General features: G+C 45.2%; 1 protein-coding gene and 1 long non-coding RNA gene across 4 annotated transcripts in view, besides 2 other annotated features; one reads left to right on the forward strand and one right to left on the reverse strand.

Moving 5' to 3' along the window:
• The window catches only part of KLF15 (KLF transcription factor 15), a 69,284-nt gene that overhangs the window by 23,763 nt on the left and 17,561 nt on the right, over window positions 1–27,960 (reverse strand). The window lies entirely within an intron of this gene.
• On the forward strand, window positions 473–11,636 carry LOC105374088 (uncharacterized). Its single transcript, XR_924454.4, has 3 exons — window positions 473–628; window positions 9,292–9,409; window positions 10,377–11,636. It is a non-coding gene; the product is annotated as an uncharacterized LOC105374088 (long non-coding RNA).
• Window positions 19,380–19,984: an enhancer, noted in NCBI's record as "H3K27ac-H3K4me1 hESC enhancer chr3:126050110-126050714 (GRCh37/hg19 assembly coordinates)". NCBI's record gives its function as "activates a minimal SCP1, AML or CMV promoter by ChIP-STARR-seq in primed H9 embryonic stem cells {active_cell/tissue: H9 hESC(primed)}" and the evidence as "EXISTENCE:reporter gene assay evidence [ECO:0000049][PMID:30033119]".
• Window positions 19,985–20,588: an enhancer, noted in NCBI's record as "H3K27ac-H3K4me1 hESC enhancer chr3:126050715-126051318 (GRCh37/hg19 assembly coordinates)". NCBI's record gives its function as "activates a minimal SCP1, AML or CMV promoter by ChIP-STARR-seq in naive and primed H9 embryonic stem cells {active_cell/tissue: H9 hESC(naive and primed)}" and the evidence as "EXISTENCE:reporter gene assay evidence [ECO:0000049][PMID:30033119]".

The following is a 27,960-nucleotide window of genomic DNA, read 5'->3' on the forward strand; positions in this document are numbered from 1 at the left end:
GCCACTGGTCTGACCAGTTGGCTATCAATCGTAAATCACTGGGTTGAGCCCTCTTGTTGGATCCACATTTATGCACACTCTGCTCCAGCTCTTCCTGGTAGGATGGGAAGTTACTCTCCAATCCCTGGCTGATTTGGCTGACCAGGCAGGCTGCAATCCCCTGAGCTATAGCTCAGAGGCTATAGCCCCTCTGAGCACCCTTCTTTCAGAATCTGGCATCAGACTCCAGTGTGCAGCAGATGCTGTGGCTGTCAGAGCTCATGTGGAAGCCCTTGTATCTAAGAACCTGAGTCTTTTGGGATTTTTTAGAGTTAGGGTCTTGCTTTGTCACCCACACTGGAGTAGAGTGATGCAAGGCTCACTGCAGCCTCAACCTGCCAGGCTCAAGGGATCCTCCCACTTCAGCCTCCTGAGTAGCTGGGACTATAGGTGCATGCCACCATGCCCTGTTAATTTTTTGTCTTTTTTGTAGACATGGGGCGTCACTATGTTGCCCAAGCTAGTCTCAAACTCCTGGACTCAAGTGATCCTCCCACCTTGGTCATCCAAAGCGCTGGGACTACAAGCATGAGCCACCGCGCCCAGCCAGAACCTGAGTATTCAATGTTTCCATAAATGGATTTCACTGGTAAGCTTCCCTCCTGTTTCTTATGTCTGACTCTCCCTTAGGGGGCCCGCCTGGCACCCAGCAATGCGCTAAGTGCTTTTCCCATCTAACACAAGAACCCTCCTGCTTCATCCATGCAGGGCACCAAATACTGTATCATCTCTCTAATTAAAATTTAAATTACAGCATCTGTGAGTTTTCCAGGGCTGCTGTAACAAAGTACGACAGCCTGAGGGCTTCAACAGACATTTGCGTTTTCACAGTTTTGGAGGCTGCAAGTCCTCGATCAAGGTGTGTGTAGACTGGCGGGTTCCCTTTAAGGCCCTGAAGGTCTGTCTGTCCTGGGCCCTCGCCTAGCTTCTGCTGGTGGTTGGAGCCCTTCAGCATTACTGACCTCCCGCTCATGTTCACGTGGCATTCTCCTTGTGCATGGCAGCTCCCAGCTCCCCTTTTATGAAGATCCTCATCACATAGAATTCAGGGATGTTATGGGCTGAGTTCTGTCTCCCAAAATTCATATATCTAAGTCCTAACCCCCAGAACCTCAGAATGGAACCAAATTTGGAATTAGGCCTTTAAACAGGCCATAAAGTGAAAATGAGGCCTTTAAAAGTAGCCCTTAATCCAACCTGACTGGGGTGCTTGTAAGAAGAGGGGGTTGGGACACACAAAGAGACCCCAGAGATGCAAGTGCACAGAGGAATGACAACATGGGGACACAGCGAAAAGGCGGCCAGCTGCACGGCAGAGAGAGACAGGCCGTGGGAGAATCCAACCCTGCTGACGCATTGACCTCCAACTTCCAGCCTCTGGAACTGTGGGGAAATGAACCTCTGTTGTTTAAGCCACTCATATGGGGCATTCTGTTACGCAGCCTCAGCTGACTCATACAAGGGCCCATCCTACTCCAGAATGACTCCAGGATGACCACATCCTAACTATTACATCTGCAGTGACCCTATCTTTAAATGAGGTCACATTTGGAGACACTGGTGATTTGGACTTTGAGATATAAATTTTGGGGGACATGATTCAACCTGTAACCTAGTGTTTCTGGGCCCTGGCCCTGGCATCCCCATCCCAAGCAATGTCTGGGAATACTGACTTGCCCTGGACTTCCTGCAGAGGGTCATTTTTCACACTTGTCATCCTCAGTCCCTGGCATGGCTCAACCCCACCTTCTCCTGCCCTCCCTACTGGTTCCACACACAGACCTGCCTTGTATGAGCTACTTATTGCTACTTACCAACTACCCAAAACTTAGGCTTAAAACAACCACCATCTTCTTTGCTCTCACTCCTGTGGTCTGACCATCTGGTCTGGGCTCAGCCATGGTCCTTACACTGGGGCACGTTGTGTGGCTAAAGTCATCTAGGGATGTCTTCAGCTGAGGCTTGAGCAGAACTCAGCAAACTGCAAACCCGTCTACCATCTGTTTGTGTAAATAAAGTTTTATTGGCACACAGCCAGGCTCATACAGTTATGTGTTGCCAGTGACTGCTTCATGCTGCAACAGCAGTTGATGAGGTGAGACAGAAACTGCATGTGGCCACACAAAGCCTAAAATATCTATTATCTTGCTCTTTATACAAAAGCTTGCTGAGCCCTGGTCTCAGGCTGTGTCACTCCCTCGCTCGGTGGCCAACGGTCACCCAGAGGGACTCATCCTCACAAGGCCTGCCCAGGATTCCTCATGGGGGCTGGGGTGCTCTCGGGGTTCCAATAGCTCACAAAATGTCAGTCCAAAATTCAAAGGGTGGGGATATGGGTCCCCCCTTGACAGGAGAGTCACAGCACATCACCAAGGACCACACATACAGGGGTGGGAGGAGCCATTGCCACCTTCCTTGCAAATGTCATTCATGTGTCTTCCTTTGAATGGGCCAAGCACAGCTAAGTCAAGGCCATGATGCTTGACAGAGCCTGACTGACCGCTTGGGGAAGCAGAGAATCAGAACACAGAGCAACCTCCCTATGGCCAGTTGTGTTCTTAGGGCTCAGGGCTCCCACACAGGGACCCACACGTGTTCCCAGGTTCCTCCCATCCAACCAGTAGCTCCTGCCTCCCACACCTCTGTGCCCCAGGCTCTTGCTACTAGAACTGAGGACTACACTTCCCACAGTGACCCCAGCAGGGCCCAGAGCCATTCACCCCACAGCTGCACACAGCACAGCTCAGCAAACGAATACTGGGCTCCACCTGGGGCAGAACAGAGGCGAAGTCCAGGGAGGGCTAGACATGAGGGCCCTCTATGCCCCCATATAGTAGTAATCCCCTCTGTCTGTCTATTGCATCAGCATCGTTCTCTCTGATCACAGAAAATTCCACTAATTTGGTAAAGAAAGACAGACAGCCAGGACCCCAAGGCCATCTTTTTATGGCTTGCTTTCCTTGAGAAAGATACAGACCTTGCATAGAGTTGGCTAGGGCTGCCAGAGCACTACACACTAGGGGCCGCAGATGTCTCTTGTCTCACAGTTCTGGGGGAAGGAAGTCCAGGATGAAACTGCGGCCAGGGATGTCTGCTTCTGAGATAGCGTCTGTTCCAAGTCCCCCTCCTGGCTCCTGCTATTTGCTGCCAATCTTTGGAGTTCCTTATCTTGTAGGCTGTCACCCTGATCTCCACCTTCATGACCACTTGGGGTTCCCCCATGTGTGTGTCTGTGTCCAAATGTCCCCTTTTTATAAGGACACCAGTCATATTGCATTAGAGAGACCCACCCTACTCCAGTGCAACCTCATCTTAAATAATTACATCTGCAACAACTCTAGCTCCGAACAAGTTCACATTCTGAAGTACTGGGAGTTAGGGCTGTAACTCCCAGTACAGTTAGAGTTAGAACATATCTCTTCTTGGTGGGGGCACTTTTCAACAGTAACGCACTGTGTCTTGGAAGCTAAGTGGTAGGATGGGCCCAGCCTGTGCTGCATGGTCCACCCCACTGTGCCCCAGATGGGGGAGGGGCGGGACCTAGGGCCACATCTTGTCAATATGGAGCAGGGAAGTTCCCAGACATTGGGATCCTGGGCTCCCTACACAAGAGTGAAGAGGGAAGTCAGGGGGGACAGGAGGAGAGCGGGAGGGGAGGGATAGAAGGCCGGCAGGCTCCGAGGGCCAGCACACACTCTCACAGCTCACAGCAACACTGCTGTCTCCGGCTGCATCTTAACAGAAAACTGAGGCTCAGAGAGACACATTTTGAGTGAGAGGCTGGGCCAGGACAGGAACTCAGGCCTGCATGACTCCAAATCACTTCAAGAAGGAGGTGGGCTTTCTACCTATCCTTTGAAATTCCTCTCCTGCACCTCCCTGGACTGTGCCACTTCTGAATAAAAAGCCATCATTTTATGAGGCAAAGAAAATGCTACGGTTCTGGGAAGGAAAATATTCTTATGTGGAAAAGAGGGGTCAAGGCTTGGGACCCTCTGACAACTAGGTCATGGCTGATTCCGACATAAGAGAAGGAGGTTTTTAAGATTCTAGAACAGGGGTTGGCAAGCCGCACTCTAGAGTCAAATCCCACTGCTGTCTGTCTCTGTGCAAGCTGGGAACTGTATTTGCATTTTTAAAGGGTTGTAAGAGACAAGAATTCAAACAAATAATTGCGGCAGAGACCACGTGTGGCCTGTAAAGCCTAAAACATTTACTATCCGGCCCTTCACAAGAAAAAGCCAGAGCAATATGGAAAGCGGGGCTGGGAGTGCACGGGCGGAGTGGGGAAGGGAGTCCACGGGCCGGACTGGGGCTGGGAGTGCACGGGTGGGAGTGGGGCTGGGAGTGCATGGGCCAGAATGGGGAAGGGAGTGCAAGGGCTGGAGTGGGGAAGAGAGTCCATAGTCCAGAGTGGGGAAGGGAGTGCACAGGCCGGAGTGGAGAAGGGAGTCCACCGGCTGGAGCAGCGCTGGGCATCCATGGGCCAGTGGGGAAGGGAGTGCATGGGCCTGAGTGGGGAAGGGAGTCTATGGGCCGGAGTGGGGAAGGGAGTCCACAGGCCGGAGTGGGACTGGGAGTGCATGAGCTGCAGTGGGGAGGGAGTACATGGGCCGGAGTGGGGAAGAGGGTACACGGGCTGGAGTAGGGAAGGAAGTCCAGAGTGGGGAGTGGGGAAGGGAGTGCACAGGCCAGAGTGGGGCTGGGAGTGCATGGGCCAGAGTAGGGAAGGGAGTGCACAGGCTGGAGTGGGGCTGGGAGTCCACAGGCCGGAGTGGGGAAGGGAATGCACGGGCCGGAGTGGTGAGGGGAGTCCATGGGCCGGAGTGGGGAAGGGAGTGCACAGGCAGAGTGGGGCTGGGGGCAGCCCAGGGCCTGCCTGACTCTTCCTCAGAGCCCGTGGCTGGCACTGCCTGGGGCAGCAGGGGCTGAGTGCCCCCTCAGCAGGACCAGCGAGCCCTCAGGAAGGCATGAGAACATGTGCTCCTGGAAGCCACAGAAACATCCAGGAGATGGAGACCTTTGCAAGCTAAGCAGGCCAGGTTACTTTGACCTTGAGGGCAATGGAGGTATATTTTACCAGAGGTGGAAGTCCTGGGAGCCCCACTGTGAATCCTCTGGGTTCCATCCATTCTCCTTCTCTGGGTAGCAGCAAACCCATTAAGTCAAACACTGCAAGCAGCACCACAAGCCCAAATATAAGAGAGGGTGAACAGGGCCTGCCTGTGCCCTGGGGGCTGGGCCGCATTGCTTCTACATCCCTACTTCTATGCCTTGTGGTGTTCATGTCCCTCCAAAGATGTCTATACATTTCCCAAGAAGCAATAGGTAGCTAGTCAGACATGAGCAGGGCAGGAGAGGGCCTCACACCCCAGAATGTCAGGCCACCATCAGGTGATGATCAGGTGGTTGTTACACTGTCTTTCCAAAATAATAATTGGTTGCAGCCATCACCAGGGAAAGGCGGTCTCCCAATAGATAGAAAAAACCTGAAACTGGTGATCAGCAACTTCGCGATAAGATCTCAGGAGTTGGGCGAGTGGGCTCAAGCATACACACTAAGAGGCAAAATGGCAGAGTTGAACTGCTTTATGACCTTCCAGGGAGATGTGACTGGGAAGGGAAGAATGCCTCAAGTGAGCATGTGCACAATTTCAGTAAACACACTGCGCACCCCGGAGTGCGGGCAGGTCACTGTGCATGCAGACAGCCTACCCCAAGGGAAGACTCAGGGGAGAAGAGACACAACCCCCTGGAAGCCTGCCAACATATAAATTTCAAGTCAATGGTCAAACCACATACTTGATCTCTCAAGTTGCCCACTTGGCCCTCTTCCAAGTGTACTTTACCTCCTTTCATTCCTGCTCTAAAACTTTCTTAATAAACTTTCACTCCTGCTTAAAAACTTGCCTGGGTGTCTCTCACTATGTCTTCTGTCCCTCGGTCGGATTCTTCTGAGGAGACTAGAACTGGGGTTGCTGCAAACCCGTACAGATTTGCCGCCACTAACATACGTTGGTGACTCACATACATTCTGCTGCTAACAATAACATCTTTCCGGTCACCTTGTTTTCTGAGCTCCTGATTCCATGCTGGCTCTCTGTGTTCTACACGACACCAACCTGGACCCATGGGAAAACAGCTCCTCTTCCTGGACGCCTCCACCCAGCTGCCTGTCCGCTCTCACCCTGCCCACTCTCTTCTTGCACTTGGTCCTTTCCCCCCAACTCCTCCCATGTTTTCATGCTATGCAACTTTGCGACAACCTCACTCTGAGGACTCACCTCATACATGCCTTTAACCTACATGAGTTGAACTATAGTAATTTCCAAAATATGAGGGAGGAAAATATGTATTGGTTTAAATTGTGTGGGATAATTCTTCCCCTCATTCCCTTCCATATGCCCAGGGATTAGCCTGGGGGTAGGAGATTAAAATTTGCTACTTCATTTCTTGACTCCTGTTATGGTAGCACTAGTTTCTAGCTTCCTTTACATTGATCCTAATGTTGATGGGTAGGTATTTGTGATACAAAGTTAGCTGCCTCTGAATGCAAGCCAACTACTCATCTGACCTAAGGGGAAGGGTGATGTATCTGTGATGGACGTGCAGGGGGATAAAACGTCAGTGTTGGCCGACACGTGGCATACTGTGCTCTAGGGACGATTTAAGAAAATCTTCAAAAGTAATTTTAGTTAACTGGGATTTCACCTTCTGAGCTGGTTTTAGAATTCAACTCTCTTTTAAGACATGGCTCTACTTACTTATTTTTTTTATTTAGTAGACTTTATTTTTTGAGCAGTTTTAGGTTCACAGCAAAATCAAGTAGAAAGTAGAGATTTCACACCAGAGTGGTCCCTGTTTTAGCTGATGAACAGACACTGATATCATTATCACCTGGAGTCCACAGTTTAAATTAGGGTTCACTCCTAGTGGTGTACATTCTGTGGGTTTTGACAAACGTATCCACCATTGTAGTATGACACAGAATAGCATCACTGCCCTAAAAATCCTCTGTGTTCTGCCTGTTCATCCCTCCCTCTCCCATAACCACTGGAAACCACTGATCTGTTTCCTGTCTCCATAGTTTTGCTTTTTCCAGATTGTCACAGAGTTGGAATCATCCAGTATGTAGCCTTTTCAGATTCACTTAGTAACAAGCATTTAAATTTCTTCCATGTCTTTTTATGCTTGATAGCTCATTTCTTTTTAGTGCTGAATGATATTCCATCGTCTCGATGTACCACAGTTTATCCATTCACCTACTGAAGGACATGTTGGTTGCTTCCAAGTTTTGGCATTATGAGTAAAGGTGCTATCAATATCTGCATGCAGGTTTTTGTGTGGACATAAGTTTTCAATTCATTTGGGTAAATACCAAGTAGCAAAATTGCTGGATCATATAAGAATATGTTTAGTTTTGTAAGAAATTGACGAGTTGTCTTCCAAGGTAGCTGTGCCATTTGGCCTTCCCACCAGCAATGACTGAGAGTTGCTCCACATCATTGCCAGCATTTGATATTGTCAGTGTTTTGGGTTTGGCTATTCTAACAGGCATGTGGAGGTAGCTCGTTGCTGTTTTCCCTGATGACATATGATGTTGAGTATCTTTTCATATGCATATTTGCCATCTCTAAATCTTCTTTGGCAAAATGTCTGTTCAGATCTTTTGAACATTTTTGAATCAAGGTGTTCATTTTCTTATTGTTGCATTTTAAGAGTTGTTTTGTTGTGTTTTTAGTGATTTATCTGATCACAATTAAACCCTCACCTTTAACACTACGGGCATATCAAGGCTTTTTTTCAAACAAAGTTATTTCTCTCCTTGGGAGCATTTCTAGTCCCAGCTTACAAGACAATAATCTTTTCCTGTGGCCTGCCAGAGGCATGATCAACAGTCAAGCCCACTGGCTCGGGGTGGGGTGCAGGGGAGGGGGAACTGGAGGAAGAGTAGGACTCCATATGAGAGGGAGTACGGAGCGACAGCAGACCAGGGACACAGATCAGGAGAAGCCTGGGGAGGCACAGAATGATCTGGCAGGCAAAGTGGTTCAAGATGAGTGGAGGTGGCGGGTGGGGAAGCTGGCCAGGCTGGAGCAGGGGGATCAGTGTAGACCAGGCTTAAGCATACTTTGGGCTTTATCCAAGGATCGCACCTTCCTAGAGGGGCCAAGGAGGTAACATAAATGGGTGAAGCAAGTAAGGTGTGAGGTGATAGGGAGTGCTGAAGACTCTGACAAACTGGAGATCACATGACCACTTTGGAGGGGCAGGACAGGGTGAACATATCTGCTATGATTGGTGGCTGCCCTGCAGGAACAGGGCCTCAATTTTTCAAAAGAGGCTGAACATGTGGATTTGTAAAATCTTCTGGCTTTAAATGCCGGCTCTGACTCTTTTAACACAACATGCCAGCCCAACAAAATGTAGCCATGAATGAAATTGACAGCAAGGCTGTCATATGCTTCTCATGTACATATATGTGAATGCCAGTGCACCTGCACAAGGGCCTGTGCAAACTCATGTGTATCTGTATAAATGCACATGCAGTACAGCCCTGAATGCACACACATACACACATACAGAGATAAGAGTGCTTTCCTGTGCACATGTGTTTGAGTTCACCTGGCTACACATGTACACAAGTATTGCACATACAGATGCACACACGAGCACACTGGTATTGCATACATGCGTGCAGCATTGTACGGGAACCCTCCAGCAGTAGCCTAAGAAGATGTCCCCTGGTGTCCCCAGACTGCCCTGTGGATGCTGGGCCCTTCTCTCTCAGCAGTCTTGGGGGAAGCCAGAGCTGCCCTCTGGGGCCACTTCACTTGGCCTTTCCCAACTCAGCTGGAAGCAGAGTTCAGAGCAGGAGGATCACTAGTAAAATCTAGGATGCTGATCAAACTACACTTCAGGCTGCCTCTAGCCAGCTGCCTGATTTAGCAGGGGAAGGGTGGTCCTGAGCTTCCCTGGCTTCACAACACCCTCAGCTGCAGGGTCAGAACCCTCTGGAATTCTTCTATTTGATCCTCAGTCCCGGAAAGGTGGCAGGAGGGCATGGTAAGCTTCATAGCAAGGAAGGTGAGGAAGCTGGAGCTGGCGGGGACTTGATCCACACAGGTGACACAGCCAGGAAGGGTATCAGCTGGTGGCCCAGGCTCTGTCTCTGTCCTCACATCTGGCTACACAGGCACAGGTGTAGCATGTGTACTACACATGTGATCTCCAGTTTGATGTCTTCTGCAGAGTGCTCTCAACCCTGGAGACGGCAGAACCAAGTCTCTCTACACCCTTTCCCAGCAAGGGGCCAGGGCCACAGAGGAAGAATCGCCCCTGAACTCTCAGAATCCTAAAGCTTCAATGGGTAAGAGCCCTTGTCAAATATGTCATTGACAAATGAGGAAACTGAGTCCCCAGGGCCAGAGCCATGCTCTAGTGGCCATGCCTGCTGTGGGGAGGAGGTGGGGCTGAGCCCCTGCAAAGGCTGTGGCTCCTGCTCCAGGCAGAGCTCTGCCCAGCACCACTGAGTGCCTGGTTCCATCTGCAGCAGTGCTACAGGAGGTATAGGGACCACACATGCATGCAGTCCAGAGCACCAGCAGGACACGTTGTGTGGCCCGCAGCCAGGTCAGTGGTCATTCACTGCCCCATGCCCCTCATGACCTCTGTGAAGATGGACAGAACCCTGGAGGCCCCCTGTGCATGGTGGGATGGTGGGAGTGCAGTGTCCACTAGTGGACATGTCCACAGTCCACAGCCAGGCCACAGACTTGGTGCCTTCCTTCTTTGACTCGACATCCTATTCCTTGAATTGCTGGGTGTCCCCGCTGGATGTCTGGGTGGGCAATTGTGGGTCGCTGGGCCCTGAGTGTGCCGTATGTGTGTCGGCTCCGGGGTGGCACTGCTGCAGGCGGTCCTTGCACCTTGCCAAAGCACCCAGGCAGGTTTTAACATAGAGTTTTACAGAAGTCAGATGCCCACATGATGACCAATTCATCTACACCGAAGAGCAAATGCAGGCAAGTGACAGCCCCTCCACCTCCAGGTTCTGGCAGCTGCTTGGAGCTGTTTTGATTTTCATCCTTGCATTCTGTCCATCACTGTAGCTGAAATGTGGAAGAACCTGTGTCCCTGGTCACCGATTTTAGACTGTATCTCTTGCTTCCCAGTTACAAAAGCTGAGGCTTCAGGGACTTGGTGTTTTTCCCACCTCTATGTATGTGATTTACATGTTTGTTTTCATTCTTCTACCTGGATAAATTTCTTACTGCAGCTGTAACAATGACCACAAACTTGGGAACTTAAAACAACACTTGGTTATTTTCTTACAGTTCTGGAAATCAGAAGTCCCAGAATGAAGGTGCCATCGGTGGCGCTGGTTCCTCCTGGAGGCTCTAAGGGAAACTCCGTCTCCTGTGCTTCCCCAGCTTCCAGAGGTGACCTGCATTCCCCAGCTCCTTGCCCCCTCTTCCATCCTCAGAGCCACAGCTTGGCATCCTCCAGTCTCTGTCTCTGACCTCTTCTTCGGTCCTCGTTCCTCCTACTGCCCCTCGCATAAGGACCCTTGTGATTACGCTGGATCCACCAGATAACCCAGGATCCTCCCCCCATCTCCAGACCCTTAACTTAATCACATCCACGAAGGAAGTCCCTGCTGCCTTGTAAAGTAACATCTTCCCAGGTTCTGGGGATTCATATGTGGACAGCTTTGAGGAGCCACTCAATTGTGAAGGTCCACCATAGTACCTTCATAACTTCAAATCATAGGTTTAAACCTCTGTATCTTATCCCATCCATTTCAGTGTAGCTCTTGCCTGCCCACGCCATTTGCTTGATAAATATTTGTTCTGGGAGCTAGGTTTGCACAACTGATCAAGCCAGGCAAAGCCTTATTTTCCCAAAGCCTATATTCCAGTGGGGAAAGACAGGCAATACATGGGATAAATGAATAAATGATATTCTCAGCACAATTGCTTTTTGGAGGATAACTTGGTAAAATTTATGAAAATTTAAATTGTGCCTGTTCTCTGACTCTGCAAGCCTGCTGTTAAAAATTCATATATAATGATATGTGTACAAGCCTGTTCTTTTTTTTTTTTTAATGAAATAATTTTTATTTGCTGTGATTATACATATTGACATTTGCACACTTTTTAAAACTTTTTATTTGGAAAAAATTTAAATTTTATAGATAAGTTGCAAATATAAAAAGAGTGTAAAGAATACCCATACACCCTTTTCCCAGAAAGACTTATTGTTAGCATTTCACACAATTGGCTTTTTGGTTTCTTTCTTTCCCCACCCACCTCACCCCATGGTTCTCTCTCTCCATACATGTTACATACACATAATTATATACTTAATTTTTTTCTTAGTAAATTGAAGGTGTCACATACATGATGGCCCTTTACTCCAAACATCAGTGCATATTTCCTAAGAATGTAGATATTCTCTTACTTAGCCCCAGTAGTTATATATATATATATATATATATATATATATAACATATATATGTTATATATATATATAACATATATATGTTATATATATATATAACATATATATATATAACTACTATATAACATATATATATAAATATGTATGTTAATTTTACTTTAAGTTCTGGGGTACATGTGCAGAACGTGCAGGTTTGTTGCATAGCTATACGTGTGCCATGATGGTTTGCTCCACCTATTAACCCATCAACTAGGTTCCCTCCCCTGGCCCCCCACCCCCCAACAGGCACTGGTGTGTTGTTCCCCTCCCTGTGTCCATGTGTTCTCACTGTTCAACTCCCACTTATGAGTGAGAACATCATATTTTGGGTACCATTATAAACTGTAAGTCACGCCTGATAATCTCATGTCTGAATACCCAAATATGTGATGTTTGGTTTTCTGTTCCTGTGTTAGTTTGCTGAGGATGATGGCTTCCAGCTTCTCCATGTTCCTGCAAAGGACATGATCTCATTCCTTTTTATGGCTGCACAGTATTCCATGGTGTATATGTGCAACATTTTCTTTATCCAGTTTATCATTGATGGGCATTTGGGTTGGCTCCATGTCTTTGCTATTGTAAATAGTCCTGCAATAAACATATGTGTGCATGTGTCTTTATAGTAGAGTGATTTGTAATCCTTTGGGTATATACCCAGTAATGGGATTGCTGGGTCAGATGATATTTCTGATTCTAGATCCTTGAGGAATCACCACACTGTCTTCAGCAATGGTTGAACTAATTTACACTCCCACCAACAGTGTAAAAGTGTTCCTGTTTCTCCACCACCTCACCAGCATCTATTGTTTCTTGACTTTTTAATAATCGCCATTCTGACTGGCATGAAATGGTATCTCATTGTGGTTTTGATTTGCATTTCTCCAACTTCAATATATTTAACATTGATAGAATACTTTTTTCTTATCTACCTTTCATACATCAGTATTGTCATTTGATCCAGTAATGTTCTTTATAGCATTTTCCTCTGTGGTACAGGATCCAGTCTGTCATCAGGTATAGCATTTAAGTGCCATGTCTCTTTACCCACTTTCAATAGGGAATACTTCTACAACCTTTCTTTTTATTTTCTGACATTGACTTTTTTTTCTGACATTGACATTTTGGAAGAATGGATTACTGCCACACCCGCCCCCAACTTTTTTTTAATGAAACATTTCCTGTTTGGGGTTTTTTAGATAGCCTTTCGTGATCACTTTCAAGTTATGCATTCTTCTTTGGAATGTTGCATAGGAGATGTTGTGTCCTTCTCAGGCTATCACATCTGAAAGCATATCATGTCCATCTGTCCTTCATTGGTGATGTTAACTTTTTTTTTTTTCATTGATCTTTTTGCTTTTAATTTTTTTTTTTTTCGCTCTTTTTTTTTTTTTTTATTATACTCTAAGTTTTAGGGTACATGTGCACATTGTGCAGGTTAGTTACATATGTATACATGTGCCATGCTGGTGCGCTGCACCCACTAATGTGTCATCTAGCATTAGGTATATCTCCCAATGCTATCCCTCCCCCCTCCCCCGACCCCACCATAGTCCCCAGAGTGTGATATTCCCCTTCCTGTGTCCATGTGATCTCATTGTTCAATTCCCACCTATGAGTGAGAATATGCGGTGTTTGGTTTTTTGTACTTGCGATAGTTTACTGAGAATGATGGTTTCCAATTTCATCCATGTCCCTACAAAGGATATGAACTCATCATTTTTTATGGCTGCATAGTATTCCATGGTGTATATGTGCCACATTTTCTTAATCCAGTCTATCATTGTTGGACATTTGGGTTGGTTCCAAGTCTTTGCTATTGTGAATAGTGCCACAATAAACATACGTGTGCATGTGTCTTTATAGCAGCATGATTTATACTCATTTGGGTATATACCCAGTAATGGGATGGCTGGGTCAAATGGTATTTCTAGTTCTAGATCCCTGAGGAATCGCCACACTGACTTCCACAATGGTTGAACTAGTTTACAGTCCCACCAACAGTGTAAAAGTGTTCCTATTTCTCCGCATCCTCTCCAGCACCTGTTGTTTCCTGACTTTTTAATGATTGCCATTCTAACTGGTGTGAGATGATATCTCATAGTGGTTTTGATTTGCATTTCTCTGATGGCCAGTGATGATGAGCATTTCTTCATGTGTTTTTTGGCTGCATAAATGTCTTCTTTTGAGAAGTGTCTGTTCATGTCCTTCGCCCACTTTTTGATGGGGTTGTTTGTTTTTTTCTTGTAAATTTGTTTGAGTTCATTGTAGATTCTGGATATTAGCCCTTTGTCAGATGAGTAGGTTGCGAAAATTTTCTCCCATTTTGTAGGTTGCCTGTTCACTCTGATGGTAGTTTCTTTTGCTGTGCAGAAGCTCTTTAGTTTAATTAGATCCCATTTGTCAATTTTGTCTTTTGTTGCCATTGCTTTTGGTGTTTTGGACATGAAGTCCTTGCCCACGCCTATGTCCTGAATGGTAATGCCTAGGTTTTCTTCCAGGGTTTTTATGGTTTTAGGTTTAACGTTTAAATCTTTAATCCATCTTGAATTGATTTTTGTATAAGGTGTAAGGAAGGGATCCAGTTTCAGCTTTCTACATATGGCTAGCCAGTTTTCCCAGCACCATTTATTAAATAGGGAATCCTTTCCCCATTGCTTGTTTTTCTCAGGTTTGTCAAAGATCAGATAGTTGTAGATATGCGGCATTATTTCTGAGGGCTCTGTTCTGTTCCATTGATCTATATCTCTGTTTTGGTACCAGTACCATGCTGTTTTGGTTACTGTAGCCTTGTAGTATAGTTTGAAGTCAGGTAGTGTGATGCCTCCAGCTTTGTTCTTTTGGCTTAGGATTGACTTGGCAATGCGGGCTCTTTTTTGGTTCCATATGAACTTTAAAGTAGTTTTTTCCAATTCTGTGAAGAAAGTCATTGGTAGCTTGATGGGGATGGCATTGAATCTGTAAATTACCTTGGGCAGTATAAGCCTGTTCTTTATGGCATAATTTATAACAGCAAATGTTTGAGAACAAAAATATATTGAAGGAGAATTGGGAAAATAAATTGTGGTGCCCAGAAACTAGAATTTATAGATGAATATGATGATACAGGTTGTAGCTGCTGGGTTTACAGCACTGTTTATAAAACAGGCAGAACCTGCCCTCATGGAGCACGTTGGAGTGCAGAAAGACAGATCGCACACCCTGAACGAATCTGTGCTTTAGGCTGTGCCTAGGAGGCAGGAAGGGCTAGGGAGAGAAGCAAAGCTGGGGAGAGAGCTGAGGAGTGCTGGCAGAGGTGGCTTTTGTTTGTTTTTAACTGTTGTTGTATTTACCTCAAAAATTTTAAGTTATTAGTTTAAATCAATTAATTATTAACTAGAGTTTAATTTTAAATTATTTTAATAATTTTAATTAAGTCGATTAATATTGATTGAATAACTTATAGTTGATTTAACTATAATTAATAAATAAATTTTTAATTTTCAAATTTTAGATTTACAAGCATTGCGGATAGTGCAAACATTCTTGAATACCCCTCCCTAGCCTCCCCGACACATCACATAGCCAGGGTACATTCATCAAAACTAGGAAATGAAGATGGGTGCAGGACTGCTGGCTCAACTCCAGGCTTGAACGGGCTTTCTCCAGTTTTTCCACAGAGGTGCCTTGCCGGTCCTAGGACATCGTTCAGGATTCTTCACTGCATTCTGTGGTCACATCTCATGGTCTCCTCCACTCTGCAACAGCTCCTTAGTCTTTCTTTGTCTTTTGTGCCCTTGACACTTCTGGGATGGAGTGGGGCTGGAGCTAAGTGAGAAGTATAGCAGGCAGTGAGGTCTGGGTGGGAAGCGTGGGGCAGACTCCTGTGGGACCTCATAGAGGTTTTCACTTTTCCTCCGAGGCAAACAGGGAGCCCCCAGGAAGCTCCTGAACAGAGGCAGGACATGATCAGACCGACTTTAACTGGGCCCTTCTGGCTGCTGTCCCTCAGGGAGCTGGAAGGGGTGAGGCCAGGTTGGGATGTCTGTGGATGATTCTGCAGTAGTCTAGGCAAGAGATCATGGGTGCTGTGGGCCACAGTGGGTGAGGAGCAGGGTCAAACTCCAGGTGTATTTTCAGGACAAAGCAGAAGACACTTAGGATTTTGACCCGCCTTGCTGTTGAGGTCTGCAGTCTTCCCCCAGCCTCCCCATCTCCTGTGCTGCTGGGGGCATTGTTGTCAAGGATGCTGACACCTGCATTCCAGACTTCATACATAGGATGATTCCAGAAACTGAAGCCTGCATGTCATGTTTACATAATGTAAATTTTATGCGAGTTTGACCATTTCATTGCCAAATGAAAGAGCTAGTTTCTGGTTACCATAATTTATCTACTCGATTCTTCATTGGAAAATGTTTAGATTGTTCACAAATGTTTGCTGTCATAATGCTAAAAGAACAGACTTGTATATATACTTTTATATGTGGATTTTTAATATGATGGGTTTGCTAGGTCAAAGAAAGATTGCAGTCTTTTTCCATAAGTTATTGGGGTACAGGTGGTATTTGGTTGCATGTGTAAGTTCTTTAGTGGTGATTTGTGAGATTTTGGTGCACCCATCACCCGACCAGTATACCCTGCACCATATCTGTAATCTTTTATACCTTGCCCCCCTCTTACTCTTCCCCCCAAGTCCCCAAAGTCCATTGTATCATTCTTATGCCTTTGTATCCTCATAGCTTAGCTCTCACATATCAGTGAGAACATATGATGTTTGGTTTTCCATTCCTGAGTTACTTCACTTAGAATAATAGTCTCCAATCTCATTTAGGTCACTGCAAATGCTGTTAATTCATTCCTTTTTATGGCTGAGTAGTATTCCATCATATATATATATACCACAGTTTCTTTATCCACTCGTTGACTGATGGGCTTTTGGGTTGGTTCTACAATTTGCAATTGTGAATTGTGCTGCTATAAACATGCGTGGGCCAGTATCTTTTTCAAATAATGACTTCTTTTCCTCTGGGTAGATACCTAGTAGTGGCATTGCTGGATCAAATGGTTGTTCCACTTTTAGTTCTTTAAGGAATCTCCACACTGATTTCCATAGTGGCTGTACTAGTTTACATTCCCACCAGCAGCGTAGAAGTGTTCCCTGTTCACCACATCCAAGCCAACATCTACTGTTTTTTGATTTTTTTATTATGGCCAAAAGAATGATTAAGTTTTGATGAAGTTTGCCAAATTATCCTCCAAAAAAAAATTGTACTACAATCAACAGTAATGAGAGTAACTCTTTCCCCCATGCTTGGATATAATCTTTTACATTTTTGCAATGTAGTCAACCTCCACAGGATATATTGTTTTTTTATTTCATTTTTCTGCATATTTACAAAGTTAGATATCTTCTCATGTGCCTACTTGCCATTTGCATGTCTTTTACTGTAAGTTGCTAGTTTATATCTATTGCCCATTTTTCTATTGGGATTTTTATGTTTTACTCACTAATTTGTAGAACAGTTTTGTGCATTCCAGATATATTCGGATTGTTGACTCATATATTTCTATCCATGTCTCATATTTATCTTCTAACTTCACTCATAGGGTGTCTGTTCTTAAACAGGAGTTTAAATGGTAGTGTCAAGCATGTCTATCTTTTCCATAATGGCACCTGCATCTTGCTATTTCTTGTACCTTTATAATTGTGTGTTTGTGGTTGGCTCTTTTACCCACTTGGAGTGGATTTTCTGTGTATGGTGTGAGAAGAACCTCCATCTTTCCTCTCTTATCATATAAGTAACCTTGTATTGATAACTTATATTAAATAGCCATATGTACTTGAGTTATTTTCTAGAATCTGTATGTTGCCTCATGTCTTCTTTGCCTTTATCTGTTATAACACCACATTAAAAAAATGTTTAACCTCAGCTGGGTGTGGTGGTGTGTGCCTGGAGTCCCAGCTACTCAGGAAGCTGAGGTGTGGCAAATCGCTTGAGCCTGGGAGTTTGAAGCTGCAGTGAGCTATGATCCCATCTCTGCACTCCAGCCTGGGCAGCAGAGCAAGAACCTGTCTCAAATAGAATTAATAAAATAAATTAAATAATAAAACAAAACCAAACAATTTAAACCTCTATAGGATGTTTCAGTAATTTGTCAGGCAATCTCCCCACCTCTACCACCATTGTCGTGTCATATTGGGTTGCATCTTATACATTTTCTCCTCCAGATAAATTTTGGAATCAAGTCCCATTTTTTAAAATCCTCTTTGGATTTGTACTGGAATTGCAATGAATTATAGATCAATATGACAGAAATTGGGATCTTTACAATACTGAGTCTCCCCATACAGAAAAAAAAAAAAAAAAGGTAAGCAATTCCAGTTAGGTCTTCTTTATGTTTTCCATTAAAGTTTCAGCATATTATTACACTTTTTTTTTTTTTTTACCAATTTCCTGCCATGTTGCTTGTGATTTTTCTTCCTGTCATAAAAGTTATGAACTCTACTTACTGTTGCAGTTTTTAGTTGATTTTGATTGTGTTAGTGCCCTCAGTGATGGCCCCTCATTCATCCACACCCTCTGCTGTATGTTCTCACTGGGCTTGGCCGTATGACTTGTTCTGCCCAGTGGGTCAGAGCAGACAGGATGCAAGCCGAGGTCTGAAATGAGCTTGCAAGGTGGGCCTTGCTATCTTGCAGCCATGGGCTATACCCCAGCTGGCCTGCTGGCCCAAGGCGAAATGTGAGCAACATGGAGCAGAGCCCCAGCCAGCCCAGCCTGAGTCACAGCAGAATCCCTCGTTCCCCACAGACACAGGAGCAAGATTAACTCAGGTCAGCAGACTCCCAGCCAACCCACAGGATCATAGCTCTAGTACTAAATCAGGACTGTTTCAGAGCACTGAGCTTTGAGGTGGGCTGTCAATTACACAGTAATTGCTGACTGAAACATTGACATGCAATCAGTCCATGTATTTCTGTGGGTTTATCTTGTGTCTGGCCATTGATTGAACAGTTTTATTAATTCTGGCAGATTTTCAATTGATCATTTTCGGCCCTTCCGGACAGATAATTACATCATATGCGATAAAAGTCATCTTGTCCCTTCCTTTCCTATCCTTTCAGTCTTTTTTTTTTCTTGTCATATTACATTGGCAAGGACTTTGCAAATAATAAGTTGTGTTTGTTTTTGTGGGTCTTCTGGGTGCATGCTGCTATTTGTGAATATAAGTGTGTCCTATTCACCCTTTGCCTTGAGAGACTTAACAAGACATTTCTTCTTGATGAATACAGTGCTCTTCCCTGTGTCTCATTATTTCTTGTACTTTTAGCATTGTGTGTTTATGGTTGCTTCTTTAACCTACCTGGAGTGAATTTTCTGTGCATGATGTGACGATGTTAGGAAAAGCTCTATCTTTTCTCTTTTGTCATGTGAATAACCAGTGTCTCCAGAAGCCTGAGAATGTCTATGTCTCCAGTGTCTCTGAAAGAATGAGAACATCTCTCTGGATATGACAAATTTGTCCAGAATCCCTCTCATAAGGGCAGCAGAGGATGGGGGAGCCTCATGGGTACCCAGGCAGCAGAAGCTGGAAGTGAACTGACATGAATGGGGCTTGAGGATGCAATCTGCCCCTATCCTCAGGAGTCTGAGGGCAGCACAGAGGCAGGGTAGTGGGGAAGGAAAACATCAGGCACATAAGATGCCCCTCACACTCAACTCCCTGGTCACAAACTAGAGAGTCACCAGCCCCCATCATGAGCCCCTCTTCTGGATGCAGGGCCTGCCCTTCTGTGGAGGTCTTAGGAGTGATGGCATAAGAGGACAGAGACCTAGGTATAAGTCGCAGGCATCTGGTATTGAACAGAGCACTCCAGTGATTAGCTTCCTCTCTGGGAATACAAACCAAACCCAGGAAATGTGCACAGCCTTGTAAAACCACTACAATTTCAGATTGGGTTTATCTGGTTTATTGCTTGATATGCAATTAGAAGTGTCTTGAACACATCAGCTTTCAGTTCTTCCCACGGTTGAGTATTTAATGACCTGTGAATGAACCCTGAGAAGATGCAACTTCAACTGAGCCCTGCAACCCTTTTGTAAGGGAATGTGTTCACCCTCCAAAAACCTACTTGCAAGTAATATGTTAAGGCACAGATGCTAGAAAGCATTTGATTTAATAAAATGTCTAGTGGGGGGGAGGAGCCAAGATGGCCGAATAGGAACAGCTCCGGTCTACAGCTCCCAGCGTGAGCGACGCAGAAGACGGGTGATTTCTGCATTTCCATCTGAGGTACCGGGTTTATCTCACTAGGGAGTGCCAGACAGTGGGCGCAGGCCAGTGGGTGCATGCACTGTGTGCAAGCCGAAGCAGGGCGAGGCATTGCCTCACTTGGGAAGCGCAAGGGGTCAGGGAGTTCCCTTTCCGAGTCAAAGAAAGGGGTGACGGATGCACCTGGAAAATCGGGTGAACCATGAGATTATATCCCACACCTGGCTCGGAGGGTCCTACGCCCACGGAATCTCACTGACTGCTAGCACAGCAGTCTGAGATCAAACTGCAAGGCGCCAGCGAGGCTGGGGGAGGGGCGCCCGCCATTGCCCAGGCTTGCTTAGGTAAACAAAGCAGCCAGGAAGCTCGAACTGGGTGGAGCCCACCACAGCTCAAGGAGGCCTGCCTGTCTCTGTAGGCGCCACCGCTGGGGGCAGGGCACAGACAAACAAAAAGACAGCAGTAACCTCTGCAGACTTAAGTGTCCCTGTCTGACAGCTTTGAAGAGAGCAGTGGTTCTCCCAGCACTCAGCTGGAGATCTGAGAACCAGCAGACTGCCTTCTCAAGTGGGTCCCGGACCCCTGACCCCCGAGCAGCCTAACTGGGAGGCACCCCCCAGCAGGGGCACACTGACACCTCACACTGCAGGGTATTCCAACAGACCTGCAGCTGAGGGTCCTGTCTGTTAGAAGGAAAACTAACAAACAGAAAGGACATCCACACCGAAAACCCATCTGTACATCACCATCATCAAAGACCAAAAGTAGATAAAACCACAAAGATGGGGAAAAAACAGAACAGAAAAACTGGAAACTCTAAAACGTAGAGTGCCTCTCCTCCTCCAAAGGAACGCAGTTCCTCACCAGCAACGGAACAAAGCTGGATGGAGAATGACTTTGACGAGCTGAGAGAAGAAGGCTTCAGACGATCAAATTACTCTGAGCTACAGGAGGACATTCAAACCAAAGGCAAAGAAGTTGAAAACTTTGAAAAAAATTTAGAAGAATGTATAACTAGAATAACCAATACAGAGAAGTGCTTAAAGGAGCTGATGGAGCTGAAAACCAAGGCTCGAGAACTACGTGAAGAATGCAGAAGCCTCAGGAGCCGATGCGATCAACTGGAAGAAAGGGTATCAGCAATGGAAGATGAAATGAATGAAATGAAGCAAGAAGGGAAGTTTAGAGAAAAAAGAATAAAAAGAAATGAGCAAAGCCTCCAAGAAATATGGGACTATGTGAAAAGACCAAATCTACATCTGATTGGTGTACCTGAAAGTGATGGGGAGAATGGAACCAAGTTGGAAAACACTCTGCAGGATATTATCCAAGAGAACTTCCCCAATCTAGCAAGGCAGGCCAACGTTCAGATTCAGGAAATACAGAGAACGCCACAAAGATACTCCTCAAGAAGAGCAACTCCAAGACACATAATTGTCAGATTCACCAAAGTTGAAATGAAGGAAAAAATGTTAAGGGCAGCCAGAGAGAAAGGTCGGGTTACCCTCAAAGGGAAGCCCATCAGACTAACAGCAGATCTCTCGGCAGAAACCCTACAAGCCAGAAGAGAGTGGGGGCCAATATTCAACATTCTTAAAGAAAAGAATTTTCAACCCAGAATTTCATATCCAGCCAAACTAAGCTTCATAAGTGAAGGAGAAATAAAATACTTCACAGACAAGCAAATGCTGAGAGATTTTGTCACCACTAGGCCTGCCCTAAAAGAGCTCCTGAAGGAAGCACTAAACATGGAAAGGAACAACCAGTACCAGCCGCTGCAAAATCATGCCAAAATGTAAAGACCATCGAGACTAGGAAGAAACTGCATCAACTAACGAGCAAAATAACCAGCTAACATCATAATGACAGGATCAAATTCACACATAACAATATTAACTTTAAATGTAAATGGACTAAATTCTCCAATTAAAAGACACAGACTGGCAAACTGGATAAAGAGTCAAGACCCATCAGTGTGCTGTATTAAGGAAACCCATCTCACGTGCAGAGACACACATAGGCTCAAAATAAAAGGATGGAGGAAGATCTACCAAGCAAATGGAAAACAAAAAACGGCAGGGGTTGCAATCCTAGTCTCTGATAAAACAGACTTTAAACCAACAAAGATCAAAAGAGACAAAGAAGGCCATTACATAATGGTAAAGGGATCAATTCAACAAGAAGAGCTAACTATCCTAAATATATATGCACCCAATACAGGAGCACCCAGATTCATAAAGCAAGTCCTGAGTGACCTACAAAGAGACTTAGACTCCCACACATTAATAATGGGAGACTTTAACACCCCACTGTCAACATTGGACAGATCAACGAGACAGAAAGTCAACAGGGATACCCAGGAATTGAACTCAGCTCTGCACCAAGTGGACCTAATAGACATCTACAGAACTCTCCACCCCAAATCAACACAATATACATTTTTTTCAGCACCACACCACACCTATTCCAAAATTGACCACATAGTTGGAAGCAAAGCTCTCCTCAGCAAATGTAAAAGAACAGAAATTATAACAAACTATCTCTCAGACCACAGTGCGATCAAACTAGAACTCAGGATTAAGAATCTCACTCAAAGCCGCTCAACTACATGGAAACTGAACAACCTGCTCCTGAATGACTACTGGGTACATAACGAAATGAAGGCAGAAATAAAGATGTTCTTTGAAACCAACGAGAACAAAGACACAACATACCAGAATCTCTGGGATGCATTCAAAGCAGTGTGTAGAGGGAAATTTATAGCACTAAATGCCCACAAGAGAAAGCAGGAAACATCCAAAATTGACACCCTAACATCACAATTAAAAGAACTAGAAAAGCAAGAGCAAACACATTCAAAAGCTAGCAGAAGGCAAGAAATAACTAAAATCAGAGCAGAACTGAAGGAAATAGAGACACAAAAAACCCTTCAAAAAATCAATGAATCCAGGAGCTGGTTTTTTGAAAGGATCAACAAAATTGATAGACCACTAGCAAGACTAATAAAGAAAAAAAGAGAGAAGAATCAAATAGACACAATAAAAAATGATAAAGGGGATATCACCACCGATCCCACAGAAATACAAACTACCATCAGAGAATACTACAAACACCTCTACGCAAATAAACTAGAAAATCTAGAAGAAATGGATACATTCCTCGACACATACACTCTCCCAAGACTAAACCAGGAAGAAGTTGAATCTCTGAATAGACCAATAACAGGAGCTGAAATTGTGGCAATAATCAATAGTTTACCAACCAAAAAGAGTCCAGGACCAGATGGATTCACAGCTGAATTATACCAGAGGTACAAGGAGGAACTGGTACCATTCCTTCTGAAACTATTCCAATCAATAGAAAAAGAGGGAATCCTCCCTAACTCATTTTATGAGGCCAGCATCATTCTGATACCAAAGCCGGGCAGAGACACAACCAAAAAAGAGAATTTTAGACCAATATCCTTGATGAACATTGATGCAAAAATCCTCAATAAAATACTGGCAAAACGAATCCAGCAGCACATCAAAAAGCTTATCCACCATGATCAAGTGGGCTTCATCCCTGGGATGCAAGGCTGGTTCAACATATGCAAATCAATAAATGTAATCCAGCATATAAACAGAGCCAAAGACAAAAACCACATGATTATCTCAATAGATGCAGAAAAAGCCTTTGACAAAATTCAACAACCCTTCATGCTAAAAACTCTCAATAAATTAGGTATTGATGGGATGTATTTCAAAATAATAAGAGCTATCTATGACAAACCCACAGCCAATATCATACTGAATGGGCAAAAACTGGAAGCATTCCCATTGAAAACTGGCACAAGACAGGGATGCCCTCTCTCACCACTCCTATTCAACATAGTGTTGGAAGTTCTGGCCAGGGCAATGAGGCAGGAGAAGGAAATAAAGGGTATTCAATTAGGAAAAGAGGAAGTCAAATTGTCCCTGTTTGCAGATGACATGATTGTATATCTAGAAAACCCCATCGTCTCAGCCCAAAATCTCCTTAAGCTGATAAGCAACTTCAGCAAAGTCTCAGGATACAAAATCAATGTACAAAAATCACAAGCATTCTTATACACCAACAACAGACAAACAGAGAGCCAAATCATGAGTGAACTCCCATTCACAATTGCTTCAAAGAGAATAAAATACCTAGGAATCCAACTTACAAGGGATGTGAAGGACCTCTTCAAGGAGAACTACAAACCACTGCTCAAGGAAATAAAAGAGGATACAAACAAATGAAAGAACATTCCATGCTCATGGGCAGGAAGAATCAATATCGTGAAAATGGCCATACTGCCCAAGGTAATTTACAGATTCAATGCCATCCCCATCAAGCTACCAATGACTTTCTTCACAGAATTGGAAAAAACTACTTTAAAGTTCATATGGAACCAAAAAAGAGCCCGCATCGCCAAGTCAATCCTAAGCCAAAAGAACAAAGCTGGAGGCATCACACTACCTGACTTCAAACTATACTACAAGGCTACAGTAACCAAAACAGCATGGTACTGGTACCAAAACAGAGATATAGATCAATGGAACAGAACAGAGCCCTCAGAAATAACACTGCATATCTACAACTATCTGATCTTTGACAAACCTGAGAAAAACAAGCAATGGGGAAAGGATTCCCTATTTAATAAATGGTGCTGGGAAAACTGGCTAGCCATATGTAGAAAGCTGAAACTGGATCCCTTCCTTACACCTTATACAAAAATCAATTCAAGATGGATTAAAGATTTAAACGTTAGACCTAAAACCATAAAAACCCTAGAAGAAAACCTAGGCATTACCATTCAGAACATAGGCATGGGCAAGGACTTCATGTCCAAAACACAAAAAGCAATGGCAACAAAAGCCAAAATTGACAAATGGGATCTAATTAAACTAAAGAGCTTCTGCACAGCAAAAGAAACTACCATCAGAGTGAACAGGCAACCTACAAAATGGGAGAAAATTTTCGCAACCTACTCATCTGACAAAGGGCTAATATCCAGAATCTACAATGAACTCAAACAAATTTACAAGAAAAAAACAAACAACCCCATCAAAAAGTGGGCGAAGGACATGAACAGACACTTCTCAAAAGAAGACATTTATGCAGCCAAAAAACACATGAAAAAATGCTCATCATCACTGGCCATCAGAGAAATGCAAATCAAAACCACTATGAGATACCATCTCACACCAGTTAGAATGGCAATCATTAAAAAGTCAAGAAACAACAGGTGCTGGAGAGGATGTGGAGAAATAGGAACACTTTTACACTGTTGGTGGGACTGTAAACTAGTTCAACCATTGTGGAAGTCAGTGTGGCGATTCCTCAGGGATCTAGAACTAGAAATACCATTTGACCCAGCCATCCCATTACTGGGTATATACCCAAATGAGTATAAATCATGCTGCTATAAAGACACATGCACACGTATGTTTATTGTGGCACTATTCACAATAGCAAAGACTTGGAACCAACCCAAATGTCCAACAATGATAGACTGGATTAAGAAAATGTGGCACATATACACCATGGAATACTATGCAGCCATAAAAAATGATGAGTTCGTGTCCTTTGCAGGGACATGGATGAAATTGGAAATCATCATTCTCAGTAAACTATCGCAAGAACAAAAAACCAAACACCGCATATTCTCACTCATAGGTGGGAATTGAACAATGAGATCACATGGACACAGGAAGGGGAATATCACACTCTGGGGACTGTTGTGGGGTGGGGGGAGGGGGGAGGGATAGCATTGGGAGATATACCTAATGCTAGATGATGAGTTAGTGGGTGCAGCGCACCAGCATGGCACATGTATACATATGTAACTAACCTGCACAATGTGCACATGTACCCTAAAACTTAAAGTATAATTAAAAAAAAAGTCTAGTGGGAAGAGTGCTGTATTCGTTGAGAAGAAATGTCTTATTAAGTTTCCTGGGGTGAAGGGTGGATATTAAGGATATACTCAAGTAACAATGGATAATAATACAATTGCCACCAACAACTACAGCTGTTGCTCTCTGCCAGATGCTATTCTAAGTGTGTTGCATATTTTAACTCATTTAGTCCACACAATGACCCTATGAGGAAGGTACTATTATTATCATCCCTTATGGGGAGTCTGGCTCTAAATTCTTCTGTTTGTTTAAACAGATGGGGAATTTGAAGTTCCAGGAGGAAGATGAAGGTGCTTTCAAGGCGGGAGAAGGTGCAAAAAGCAAGTCCCTGGGTGCCTTGTAGAGAAGGCGGTGTTGGTGTACAGTTTAAATAGGATGCCCAGTGTAGTGCACTCCAGCCGCTGTGGCTCCTCATGACCATCTGGAAAGCATTTTGCCAGCGTGAGAGATTGGCAAAGAGACTCGGGCATCCGGAAGACTGAACCCACTGCACCTTGGTAGCTTTGTGCAGGGCATCCTCTGCCAGGATGTGGATGGAATCCCAGCTGTGAGCCCAGATTTGTAGTAAGGCCACCAGCTTGGGAAGGCTGGGAGAGGACAGGGAGGGGCTTTGCCAACCAGCCCAAGGTGGGAACCAGGACTCCTGTGTGGCACCAGGGTGTCCTCTGATGGGCAGTGGTCCAGCTGTCCTCCCAGCAGTGCCACGTCAGCATGACCGTCCACGCCTTGTCCAGGGATTCAGGGAGAGAAGAGCACTGCCACTTTGCTGTGGAAACAGACAGGTGTCCTTCTTTCCTCTGTCAAGGTGACGTTCGTGCATTTAAACAGAGCCCTCTGGGGATAGCTGTTCAACAACTCACCAATTAACCCTACAGAAATGACATCAATGTCTTTTCTTCATTTCATGCGTAATGCAAAGACTTCTGTGGGAAGGAGGAGACCCTGAGAGCCACACTTCAATCCTTCACACAATTTCCCTGTCTGTTCATATCATGGGGGATTTACAGCCAGACTAGTAATGTCTTATTACTTTCACATCGCAAATTTCTTCTCTTTCTCTATCAATATTTGACATTTGCACTTAGGTTTTAAACACATTTGCAATGATTTAGACGTATTTCTGCAGAAATGTATTTTCACTCTTCTCATCAGGTATTTCCAGCTCCCAGCACCTGCTGCGCACTCCCTTCCCTGGCCTCCCTCAGCTGGCTCTGTCGTAGCCTTGCGCCTCACTCTCGTGATGGAGCCGCCTGCTACAGACACTGCTCTTGCTGTCTTTCAGTGTCAGCTCAGCTCAGGGTTGAGGCCAAATTCACAGAACCCAGAGGATGGAAACAGCAGGGAACGTCCCGGCTGGGTTCTGAGAACAGCCTGGGGACCGGCTGCGATCTCTATCAGTGCTGGGTGTGGATATGTCCGTGCGCCAGGATGGCTTGGAGAGCAGGGTGGAGCAGCAGGGCCAAGGGAGGCTGACAGTGGGGGACTGGTCACTCATCTCCAGGTCCAGACCTCCAGGAGGGGCTCCTTTGGGGTCCTTGGTGTCCCTTCCTGACGGGCCCGGCTGTTTGGGGCACAGAGCAGGACCTCACAGAATGGGAGCCGAGCCAGAGCCCGAGCTGTCATCATTTGTCTTCTGCAGCAGTGCTGGGAGTTCCCTGTCCTCATGCCCACTCCTGACGTTCTCCCATGTGGATTTTAACTCTGCCCTGCATCTTTTGTTTTCTTGCAATCCCCCGCTATCCCTTCCAGCTCTCTTTTTACCTGGTCCTGGTGCCCTCCCACTACAGCCTGGGCTCTCTATTTCTTCCTTATTGAAAACAGCAGGGCGTTTCTCGTGCCCTCCCGGCCCCCCAGGGCACATCGAGATGTGCACTTTCCAGGAGTGTTTGAATGCTGCTCTCTTTGCCTCATTCTGCATCTTTTGAACAAGCCCCATTTTCATCTCTGTTCATCACCAAATGAAGTGGGACCTACTCAGACATGGCCCCCACTCTCAGCCCTCTCTTGTGGGTTCAGATCGCCTCCTCATGCCTTCACTGTGCAGGTTGACATGTTCATTCCTCACAGGTTCCCCTGCCAGGCCTTGGATAGCCTGAACCAATAAAACACAAGGAAAATGACAATTTTCCTGGAAGCCCTGGTCCTGAGGCTTTCTGCCTATGTCCCCTCTCCACCTCCCGGCTCTCACGGCCCCACATAGACTCTGGACCCTATTCACGAACAGACAGTGATGGCATTGCAAGGG

This window comes from Homo sapiens, chromosome 3 (genome assembly GCF_000001405.40).
Source record: "Homo sapiens chromosome 3, GRCh38.p14 Primary Assembly".
Classification (NCBI taxonomy): Eukaryota; Metazoa; Chordata; class Mammalia; order Primates; family Hominidae; genus Homo; species Homo sapiens.